This window comes from Homo sapiens, chromosome 4, assembly GCF_000001405.40.
Source record: "Homo sapiens chromosome 4, GRCh38.p14 Primary Assembly".
Taxonomy (NCBI): domain Eukaryota; kingdom Metazoa; phylum Chordata; class Mammalia; order Primates; family Hominidae; genus Homo; species Homo sapiens.
Window position 1 is genome coordinate 109,607,585 of NC_000004.12, and position 12,214 is coordinate 109,619,798.

Below are 12,214 nucleotides of genomic sequence, written 5' to 3' on the forward strand. Positions count from 1 at the left end.
TCCTTCAACTTTTGTTTGTCTGGGAAAGTCTTTATTTCTCCTTCATGTTTAAAGGATATTTTCACTGGATATGCTATTCTAGGGTTAAAAGTTTTTTTTCCTTCAGCACTTTAAATATGTCATGCCACTCTCTCCTGGCCTGTAAGAGTTCCACTGAAAAGTCTGCTGCTAGACATATTGGAACTCTATTGTATGTTATTTGTTTCTTTTCTCTTGCTGCTTTTAGGAGCCTTTTCTTTATCCTTGACCTTTGGGAATTTGATTATTAAATGCCTTGAGGTAGTCTTCTTTGGGTTAAATCTGCTTGGTGTTTTGTAACTTTCTTGTATTTGAATATTGTTACCTTTTCCTAGGTTTGGGAAGTTCTCTGTTATTTATCCCTTTGAATTTCTACCTCTGTCTCTTTCTCTACTTCCTCTTCAAGGCCAATAACTCTTAGATATGACCCTTTGAAGCCCTTCTCTAGATATTGTAGGTGTGCTTCATTTTTTAAAATTCTCTTTTCTCTTATCTCCTCTGATTGTGTTTTTTCAAATAGCCTGTCTTGAAGCTCACTAATTCTCTGCTTGATCAATTCTGCTAGTAAGAGATTCTGATGCATTCTTCAGTATGTCCATTGTATTCTTCAACTCCAGAATTTCTGCTTGATTTTTAAAAATCATTTCAATCTTTTTGTTCAGTTTATCTGATAGAATTCTGAATTCCTTTTCCTTGTTATTTTAGATTTCTTTGAGTTTCTTCAAAACAGCTATTTTGAGATACCTGTCTGAAAGGTCATGTATCTCTGTTTCTTCAGGATTTGTCTCTGGTGCCTTATTTAGTTCGTTTGGTGAGGTCATGTTTTCCTGGATGGTCTTGGTATTTGTAGATATTTATTGATGTCTGGGCGTTGAAAAGTTAGGTTTTGTTTTGTTTTGTTTTGAGACAGGGTCTCATTCTGTTGCCCAGGCTGGAGTGCAGTGGTGCAGTCATGGCTCACTGCAGCCATGACCTCCCTGACTAAATTGATCCTCCCACTCAACCTCTTGAGTAGCTGGGACTACAGGCATGCACCACCACATCCAGCTACTTTTTGTATTATTATTATTGTTTTTTTTTTAGAGACAGGGTTTTGCCACGTTGCCCAGGCTGACCTCAAACTCCTGGGCTCAAGCAGTCTGCCTGCCTTGGCTTCCCAAAGTTCTGGGATTAAAGGCATGAGCCACCATACCCGGCCTGAAGAGTTAGGTATTTATTGTAGTCTTTGCAGTATGGGCTTGTTTGTACCCATCTTTGGGAAGATTTCCAAATATTTAAAGGGACTTGGGTGTTGTGATCTAAGCAATATCTGCATTAGGGAGCACCCTAAGCCTAGTAACGCTGTGGTTCTTCAAGACTTGTAGAGGTACTGCCTTGCTGGTGTTGGATAAACTCCAGAATTCTCTGGATTACCAGACAGAGACTCTGTGTTATCTTCTGTTGCTTTCTCCAGACAAATGGGATCTCTCTCTCTCTCTCTGTGCTGAGCTGCCTGGAGCTGGGAGTGGGGTGACACAGTTGTTACTGGGAAGGGCTCCCAATCCAGACCCCACAAGAGAGTTCTTGGATCTTGTGCAAGAAATAATTCAGGGTGAGTCCACAGTGCAAAGTGAAAGTAAGTTTATTAAGAAAGTAAAGGAATAAAGAGTGGCTACTCCATAGACAGAGCAGCCCCTAGGGCTGCTGGTTGCCCATTTTTATGGTTATTTCTTGATGATATGCTAAACAAGGGGTAGATTATTCATGCCTCCCATTTTTAGACCATATGTGGTGACTTCCTGACATTGCTATGGCATTTGTAAACTGTCATGGTGCTGATGGGAGTGTAGCAGTGAGGATGACCAGAGGTCACTCTTGTAGCCCTCTTGGTTTTGGTGGGTTTTAGCTGGCTTCTTTACTGCAACCAGTTTTATCAGCAAAGTCTTTATGACCTATATCTTGTGCCGACCTCCTATCTCATTCTGTGACTTAGAATGTCTAACCTCCTGGGAATGTAGTCCAGCAGGTCTCAGCCTTATTTTACCCAGTCCCTATTTAAGATGGAGCTGCTCTGGTTCAGATGCCTCTTGAAACAATCACCCCTATGGTCACCACCACTGGGACTGTGCTGGCTCAGACCTGAATCCAACACAGCACTGAGTCTTGCCCAGTGCCCGCTGCAGCCACTCCCTGGCTACTGCCTATGTTCACTCAAGACCTTAGAACTCTACAATCAGCAGGTGGCAAGGCCAGCCAGGCTTCTGTCCTTCCTTTCAGTGCAGTGAGTTCCCCGAGGGCGAAGCAGGTCCAGAGATGCCATCCAGGTGCCAGGGACTGGAGATGAAAACCTTAGAAATCTGCCTGGTTCTCTGTTCTACTGCAGCTAAGCTGGCACTCAAACCACAAGACAAAGTTCCTCCTAATCTTCCCTCCCCTTTCCACAAGCAGAGGAGCCTCTCCCTGTGGCCACTGCCACCATAGGCCCATGGGGAGTACAGCCAGGCTACTGCCAATGTTCACTTAAGGCCCAAGGGTCTTCGGTCAGCTCATGGTGAATGCTACCAGGCCTGAGACTCTACTCTTCAGGTAAGTGGGCTCGCCTCTGGCCTAGAGTAGGTCCAGAAATACCGTCTAAGAGCCAGTGCCTGGAATGGCAGACCCCAAGAGCCTGCTCAGTGCTCTACCCCATGTGGCCGAACTGGTACCTGATTTTTGGTTCTTATAAAGGTGTCTTTTTTGTGTAGATGCTAAATTTGGTGTTCCTGTTGGAGGTTGGGGAGGATCCGTGGCAGCTTGGATCTGGCCATTTTCTCTGCCCCTCTCCTATTATATCTTTTAATTTAATGATTCTATAAGCATCTCACATCTGGGGAAGCTTTTCTCTAAGACGAATATGATGAAATATATTGAGAGATAGTGTTCATTTCCTGGTGGATGTTCCCTTTCTAACCTGCTTGTTTGATCTTAGATCTGCTGTTCCCTACTGTTTTGTGAAGACTATGACATTAGTATAGTTGTAAAGTTATGTGAGATGTACATAAAAAGATAACAGTCACGCGTCTTTTAACGGCAGGGATACATTCTGAGAAGTGCATCCTTAGGCGATTTCATCATTATGCGAACATCAGAGTGTACTTATGCAAACCTAGATGGCATAGCCTGTTACAAACCTAGGCTATATTGTATAGCCTATTGTTCCTACACTACAAACCTATACAGTATCTTACTATATTGAATACTGTAGGAAGTTGCAACACTATGGGAAGTTTTTCTGTATCTGAAACATATATAATGTACAGTAAAAATATAGTAACTGCAGAAAGATGAGTATCTTCTCCCGTACCCAGATCCATAGGCCTGTGATGAGAATCAATGGAAATTTTGTATGTGGGTGGCAGGTTTCACCCCATAGAAAAGTGATAGAGAATAATGTATTTTCTCTGTATACAGAAAAGAGGTAGCCACCAACTTCCTCTTCTAAAAAGAGAGAGAAAAACTTTTATTCCTTTGAGATAGGATAAGAAGAATCTTGAGTTCTTATAAACCATTTGGAATGTAAATATGACTTTCCAAGGGCTAGATAAACATCTCTGTCATGGAGAGAGTGGGGAAGTTACTACCAGGAGGTGTTTCCAAGGTCTAGGCTTCTGTAAATACCCAGAGAGAGTCTTCCTGGCACTTTGGAACTTAGCCCAGGGGCCTATTCTGGGCTGTAACCATTTGACCCACTTGTAGAGATAAGAGAAGTTTTATCATCCTTTTGGATTAGAGCAGTTAAGTAGACAAATGGCTATAGAGCTAATCCTCAGGATATGTGAAAAGTAAAATGCTTCTAGGGGAAGTGAAAGCAAATTCTCTAGCTTTATGGTGTATGTATTTCCATGTCTTGGGAGGCTAGGGCTTTTTACAGAAGCTAAGCAAAATCCAGATAAATCTTATTTCCCCACATCTACAAAGAATACTTACACAATTCTGATGTTCCCTATTGTTTAACAACAAAAAAATTGTGACTTAGTGGAGATAATAGAGATATTCAATTCCTTAGATATCATACAAGTGAGGATTTTTCAAAATTAGGACCAAACCTCACAGTAGTTCAAATAGAAGCCACAATCTAGACATGTATTTCTTTTTCTCTCTTTTTCTTTTCTCTCTGTTAAAAAAAAGGCTGATGATTTGAAGTCCATTTCTTTTTATTGGTATGGTTCATGCCTGTGAAAATGAAGCAGATGGCAAACTGGGGCATTTTAAATTCCACTGCTAGCTAAAACTATAAGAAGAAAATAAAGCCCTATGATGATGCTGCATTGATCAAGTGATTAAAATGAAAGAACATTTTGTAACAGAATTTCTCTTGATCTCCTCGACTAGACTTGTAGTGTGAAAATTTTAGAATAACTCATTTAAAACAGACTGCTTGTTAATTTTGTCTCCATTAATTGTGTTAGTCTTGTGGTGTATTAGTCTGCATAGTCTGCTGTAACAAAATATAGATGGGGTGGCTTATAAAGAGACATTTATTTCTCACATTCCCGGAGGCTGGAAAGTCCAACATCAAGGTGCAGGAAGATTGTTTTCCTATTGAGGGCTCTCTTCCTGGCTTGCAGATGGCCACCTTCTTGTTGCATTCTTCAACAGGAGGAGAGAGAAAGCTCTGGTATTTCTTCCTCCTCCTCCTTTTCTTTTTTTTTTTTTTTTTTTGAGAGCGTCTCACTCAGCCAGCCACCCAGGCTGGAGTGCAGTGGTGTGATCCCGGCTCGCTGCAACCACCACCTCCCAGGTTCAAGCAATTCTCCCATCTCAGCCTCCTGAGTAGCTGGGATTACAGGCACCTGCCATCATGCCCGGCTAAATTTTGTATTTTAGTAGATATGGGATTTCACCATGTTGGCCAGGCTGGTCTTGAACTCCTGACCTCAGGTGATCTGACTGCCCCGGCCTCCCAAAGTGCTAGGATTATAGGTGTGAGCCACCACACCCAGCCTCCTCCTCTTAAGGGCCACTAATCTTATCATGGGTGCTCCATACTCATGAGCTCTTCTAAACCTAATTATCTTTCAAAGGCTCAATCTCCTGATACCAGTATATTGGGAGTTAGGGCTGTAACATATAAATGGGGGAGAGGGGGACATACAAATATTTAATCCATAACAGAAGACCTGGGATGACTTCCAGTAAAAGATGGCAGGCTTGACAAATACATAAATTTCCTTCCTGAAATCCTAATAAGAATACAGGAATTAGGCCGGGTGCGGTGTCTCACGCCTGTAATCCCAGCACTTTGGGAGGCCAAGGCGGGCGGATCACAAGGTCAGGAGATCAAGACCATCCTGGCTAACACGGTGAAATCCCGTCTCTACTAAAAATATAAAAAATTAGCTGGGTGTGGTGGCGGGCGTCTGTAGTCCCAGCTACTCGCGAGGCTGAAGCAGGAGAATGGTGTGAACCCGGGAGGCAGAGCTTGCAGTGAGCCGAGATCACACCACTGCACTCCAGCCTGGGCAACAGGACCAGACTCCATCTCAAAAAAGAAAAAAAAGAATACAGGAATTAAAAAATATATCAGCCCACAAGGATAAAGAGATTGGGAAAGAAGACAATAGCAACAAAATATTGGAGTAGAAAGTAGAGGGACAAATAGTAACAAGCTTCTATTAATTATCTACTATTGCTATCTAATGTGCCCAAAAAAATGTGCCAAAACTTAGTGGCTCAAAATGGCACACATTTATTAGCTCAGTTTCTGTAGTCCGGGAATCCAGGTATGCTGAGGTCTCTCGCAGGCTGAAATCATGTTGTTGGCTGCAACTGTAGTCATTACAAGGCTGTTGGAAAGCTTTCAGGTCCACTCACTGGTTGTTGGCTGCATTCAGTTACTTATAGGGGAATGGGCTTTGGACTTTCTCTCTGGCTGTTGTCCAGTGCTTGCCCTCAATTCACTTCCACTTGGTCCTCTTCAACATGGAAGCTTGTTTCATCAAAGTATGCAAGCTGATAGACAACAGAGCGAATCTAGCAGACAGAAGTAATTCATTTGTTATGTAATCATGGAAGACGCATCCCATCATTTTTTCCATACCATTTAATAGAAGTACATCACTGGGTCCTGCCCACATTCAAGAGGAAGAGATTACACTTACATAAGGGTCAGAATACCAGGAGGCAGGATCACTGAGTGCCATATTCTTAAAAAAATTAAAGTATTTATTGAGATAACTGCAGACTCACAGGCAGTTTGTGAGAAATAATACAGAGAAATCAGGTATATACTCTCCATTTTCCCCCAAAGGTAACATTTGGCAAAACTGTGGTATAATATCACAACCCAGATATTGACTGATATTGAAGTTGATATAATCCACCAATCTTATTTATATTGCCCCAGTTTTACTTGTGCTTGTGTGCATGAGTTTACATCTGTATACTTTTATCATGTGTAGGTTCATGTATCCACCACCACAACCAGATATTCCTAATGTTAGAGGACTGTATTTGAAAGTTGCATGCAACAGTCTACCCAGTGGTTCACAATGCAAAATAATACTGGTTCATAATGCAGAAATACATTAACCCCCTCCCAGTGCCCCAAAATTGTCAGCCCAAAGTCCAGAACATTACAGCGTCAGCTCAAAGTCCAGAATTGTGTCATTTGAATCAGCATTGAGTACAGCTCCAAATACAGAGTCTCTTTCCATCTATAAACCCATGCTGTAGGATTGAGTGAATGTTTGTGTCACCATAAATTCATATGTGGAAACCTTAAGCCTCAATGGAGGCTTTTGGAGATGGGATCCTTGAGAAGTAATTAGGTCATGAGGATAGAGCTCTCATGGTTGGATTAGTGTCTTTACAAGAAGAAACAGGGCAGAGTTGCTTCCTCTTTCTGCACTCCGCTATGTGAGGACATAGAATAAGATAGCCATTTGCCAACTCGGAAGATGACCCACACCAGAACCCAACATGCAGGCACCCTAATGAACTTCCAAGCCTCCAGAACTGTGAGAAATAAATTTCTGTTGTTTAAGCCACTTAGTCTGTGGTTTTCTGTTACAGCATCCTAGATTGACTGAGACCCCCAGGGACTCAAGGTCGTGCTTGTGGTTTTCATCTTGTTTTTGCATTTCCCCACTTTTCATCCGTCATCCTTTCCTGATGTCCTGCCCTGTGGACCTCAGCTCTAGAATCAGACCAGACATGAAGAAAACGCCTTATAGAGACTGCCTAACCAGTTTCCACAGTTGTACAAGTCCAAGTCTTTGTAACAAATCTTTATATAGTCACTCATACGCATTCATAGTAGTCGCTTCTCTGGATGAACCCAACTGATACACAGCACAGAAAGCTTATCATTAGGCAGCAATGGGAAAAGCTACAAATCAACCAGTTTATACTGTTTAACCTTAGGATTTGACAGAACAAGTGCTTTCAGAAATACGGGGTAAATTGTAGGCTAGAAGCATGATAATTGGTTGAAAATCTGCTCAAGAAACTATTAGATTCCAAACTCTCTTTTCTACTCTGCACAGCTGGCAAGTGCCCTCTTTTCCCCCTGGAAGGAACTTCAGAGTTTTATTTCTTTAGACTTGAGGATATCTGGCACAGTTGAGAGCTTGCGTACTCTGTGGAAAACAGAATTGGGTGAAAGTTAACTTAGTGAGGTTGAGCCATCTTTCTTTACCCATATTGCAGATGTCAGCCCCCGGGATTATATCTTCCAAGCAGATGAGAAGAGTCTTGTGGGGAATATGGCCAACCCAAAAGAAGAGACTTGAAGATACTGGCATTGTATAAAATCCTCAACAGTATTATTATCATAGATGTGAATTTTTTTTTTTTTTTTTTGAGACGGAGTCTCGCTCTAGCTCCCAGGCTGGAGTGCAGTGGTGCGATCTCGGCTCACTGCAACCTCCGTCTGCCGGGTTTTACGCCATTCTCCTGCCTCAGTCTCCCAAGTAGCTGGGACTACAGGCATGCACCACCTACGCCCGGCTAATTTTTTTTGTATTTTTAGTAGAGATGGGGTTTCACCGTATTAGCCAGGATGGTCTCGAACTCCTGACCTTGTGATCCGCCCGCCTCGGCCTCCCAAAGTGCTGGGATTACAGGCATGAGCCACCGCGCCCGGCATAGATGTGAATTTATTTGCTAGGTCTCAGCAAGCTAAAACAAAGATTTAATTTAAAGAAAATGGTTTTAGGATAAGTACACTAATCAAAAAGAGTCTTCCTTTATCTGTGAAAGATTGTCTCTTTTCTTCCAAGTGCACATCTGAGAAGGGTCACTATATGTAGTGCTGAGGGAGAGGGGACTCTTGAGCAACACCTGTCAGTTACATCAGTGCTGGCGATCAGTGAGTGACAGGTGTCATCACCTGTGCACCATCATGTTCATTTTGGACAAGAAAAGGAAGTACCTCCAACATGGTGAGTAGTAACTTATGAAACTAGTCACCACAGAAAGGGCATAGGCCAAAAATTTAAGTTCCAAAAGGATATATGTGAAATGATGAGTGATAGATCCATAGTGCCTCGCAGTTAGTTCTCATTCAATACACATTTGCAGAGTGAATAAATGAATATTTTGCTACTTGTTTTTCCCCTTTAGTGCATATTTCTAGATTGCCTTTTAATTATTTCCTTTCCCAGGAACCAGCTTTGCTTACATTGTAGCTACCTCCTGCTGGAGAATTCTGCATTTTATTTTAACTGCTTTATCTTAGTAGTTGGACAAACTTTTATGCCTTTATTATGTATACTGTCCTGACTAATGTACCTTCCACTTCTATGAATCTTGCAGAGAATTTCTTCACAGTACCCTACCTCTAGTGGAATATGCACAATAGGGCTGTATTGTCCATGTTGTGAGCCATTTATTACCCAACAGAATAACCAGCTGTGAGAAGAAAACATAGCTCTAAATCTTGTCATCCTCCCCTTTCATGCAGCCCAGCTCTATTTTGCTTTTACTTGGACCTGACACTTTAAACATGTTTAACTTAGCCTGTCTTGCTGACTCTTGGATTTTCTTGAGAGAGTTGCATACGTAGGTCTTTCTTTTAAGAAATTTCAGCAAAGAAGAAAAGGAAAACCTCTGATAATTCCAGCATTCAGAAATAACCATATTAATATTTTGGTATCTTACCTTCCATCTTCTCTGTGTACAAGCATGTTTGTATATAATATGTTTTTAAAAACATGTACTAAAGTCAAAAGTACAAAATTATAAAATATACTTTCTATGGATTTGCCCTCTTCCAAAAAAGCAAGAACATGTATTAAAATTGCGAATTATATATTTTAGGTACAGTTAGTGTTCATGGATTTCTGGTATTTGAACATGGGCTTTAATTTTAGTTTTTAAATTTATAACTGAATATATGCATATTCAGTTGGCCAGAGTCTGAATATCTAATTTTATGTTATGTTAGTCACCATTCTTTGCACCTCTAGTTGATGTCCTTCTTTGTCCTAACCATATTGTTGTGATCTCTCTGCTTTGTAACACTATCAGCATTTTGATTTACCTATCTTCACTGTTTTACATAATAATGATTTATGCAAATTAATAGACCCAATTTGCCTCAACTCTGGCACAGATGCTTGCACAATTGGCCTGTTGGCTGTTATAGGATCATTCTAAGTGTTTATTCCCTTAGCTCATTGGTTTGACTTGTGGCACTCTTCACATTTTGATAGGGCAATTTTTTGGTAAGTTCTGTTTAGTGCATTGCAGAATGTTTAGTGTCTCTGACCTTGTATACTACACGTTTTTAGCACCCATCAGTCAATGTGACAGCCAAATAAGGCTCCCCACACATTTCCACATTTAGTGTGTCGGGGGTGGGAGGGAGGACCATGGCTGGGTAACTGATGCATTGAAGTCCAAATTTCATGTAAAGGTGGCTTAGAAGTGAAAATGTGTAATTATCAAAGTGCTGGTTTTGAAATGTAAGAAATTTGAAGACCACAATTGCAATAACATTATGTATAGTTTGGGGTCTAAAGTTTTTCAAAGTATCATTGTCATGAATCTTTTCTTGTATCATTAATATTTTCTTGAAAGCAATTGTAATGAATGCATAATCATCATATGTTACAGATTCATAATTAACCTGTCTATTATTATTGGACAATTGAATTGTTTTCAATTTTTTGCTGTTATAAATAATGTTACAGTTAACATCTTTATAGATAAAATCTAATTAGGTATTTATTAAACCCACAATAAGAAATATGCAAAAATTTTATTTTCTCTTTTGATCTCTTTTTATACCTACTTTAGGTAAAGATGTTCTCAGAGCTATTTAGGGAAGATCAGAATAAGAGTAGCTTCTCTTTATTTCTTGGAAAGGCCTGGGAAGTCTTGTTTTCACATGTAACTTCTTGTATTTGTAGGAGATGCCTTTGGTCCTTGCATGCATCCATTTTTGCCCACCTCTGATTTCATTTGTAACTGGTGGATAGTTTCTTACAAATTCAGACTCACCTTCCATTGCTGGTGTTTCATCTCAAACCCAAGCTATACCCAGTCTTTCTGTATTCTGCTCAATGCCTTCTTCAGCAGCACAGGAACTCGGGAGTTTGCTGAGCCTGTATACCCAGTGCAGCATTGGAGGACTGTGGAGTTAATGCCCCTTCTTCCCCGCTCTATCTCCCTTCTGCTCCCATATCAGGGAGCTGAGGACAACCCTCAAATGGTTGAATAAATGTTTCAGCCTCTTGTCTTTCAGATGGACAATTGTGAGTGATATTCTAAGTGCTACTCATAGGTACTGGCAGAATGAGTCCCCTGTTGTCTCTAGCAGTCACCTCAGTAATGCTCTTACATTAGCTCTTTTTCCTTCCTGTATCATGCCTCCCATTCTCTTTCTCCTGCTTTATGATAAGATGACCTCCCAGAGAAGTTACTACACCCAAATCCTTGTCTTAGGCTCTGCTTTTGGGGAAACCCAAGCTAAGATTCATGTTAGGACTTTTTTGTTTATTATGCTTCTTCTTAAATTCATATGATATACTTTAACGTAACTAAATGGCAAGTGAGAAAACAGCCTGGTGTGACAGATTATAATTAGCAAAGATACAAAATCAGTGGGCCAAAGTTAAGTAGAACCTATAGGGGAAATAAAATATCATATGACCTAACTGAAGGTATTATTTTCTAGTAAATACCATTAGTCTTTAAATAGTTACATAGTCTAAAATGTGCTTAGAATGGTCTTTTTCTATAGAATCTTTCTTGCTTATGACTTACATTCAATAAATAAAATTGCCAACATAACAATAAGCTTCTTAGAAGATGCATTTATTACCCTCTGTAAATGTACACACCAGAAATCCCAGTTGGTTTCAAGTTCATTATTGAACATTAAACTTCTCTCTCTCTCTCTCTCTCTCTCTCTCTCTCTCTCTACCTACCAACCTACCTACCTACCTACCTATCTACCTGCCTGCCTACCTACCTACCTACCTACCTACCTACCTACCTACCTACCTACCTATTTATTGAGATGGAGTCTTGCTCTGTCATCCAGGCTGGAGTGCAATGGTGTGATCTTGGCTCACTGCAACTTCTGCCTCCCAGGTTCAAGCGATTCTCCTGCCTCAGCCTCCTCAGCCTCCCGAGTGGCTGGGATTATAGGTGCCTGCCACCATACCCAGCTAATTTTTTTTTGTATTTTTAGTAGAGACATGGTTTCACATGTTGTCTGGGCTGGTGTCGAACTCCTGACCTCAGGTGATCTGCCCGCCTTGGCTTCCCCAAGTGCTGGGAATACAGGTGTGAGCCACCATGCCTGGCCCAGTAAACCTCTTTCTATGATGTGTTGCTCTTCTTGAAAGTAACAAAGGCTGGGCGTGGTGGCTCACGCCTGTAATCCCAGCACTTTGGGAGGTTGAGGCAGGCAGATCATGAGATCAGGAGTTCAAGACCAGCCTGGCCAACATAGTGAAACACCCATCTCTACTAAAAATACAAAATTTAGCAGGGCATGGTGGCGCACACCTGTAGTCCCAGCAACTCAGGAGGCTGAGGCAGGAGAATCACTTGAACCTGGGAGGTGGAGGTTGTAGTGAGCTAAGATCGCACCACTGCACTCCAGCCTGGTGACTGGGTGGGACTCTGTCTCGAGAAAGAAAAAAGTAACAAAGCTTTTAGATCATCAGTAAGTTAGTCTGTAATTGTATTTTGGGGACATGTTGCTTCTGCCTGAGAAGTTATA

At 41.2% G+C, this 12,214-nt stretch overlaps 1 protein-coding gene and 1 long non-coding RNA gene across 3 annotated transcripts in view, besides 1 other annotated feature; one reads left to right on the top strand and one right to left on the bottom strand.

Moving 5' to 3' along the window:
- Window positions 1-12,214, top strand: part of MCUB (mitochondrial calcium uniporter dominant negative subunit beta) — a 128,474-nt gene that overhangs the window by 47,339 nt on the left and 68,921 nt on the right. The window lies entirely within an intron of this gene.
- Window positions 5,927-11,533, bottom strand: LOC124900755 (uncharacterized). The gene is made up of 3 exons (XR_007058224.1): window positions 11,492-11,533; window positions 10,483-10,586; window positions 5,927-6,009 (listed from the first exon to the last, which is right to left on the bottom strand). It is a non-coding gene; the product is annotated as an uncharacterized LOC124900755 (long non-coding RNA).
- Window positions 9,238-9,739: an enhancer, noted in NCBI's record as "NANOG hESC enhancer chr4:110537978-110538479 (GRCh37/hg19 assembly coordinates)". NCBI's record gives its function as "activates a minimal SCP1, AML or CMV promoter by ChIP-STARR-seq in primed H9 embryonic stem cells {active_cell/tissue: H9 hESC(primed)}" and the evidence as "EXISTENCE:reporter gene assay evidence [ECO:0000049][PMID:30033119]".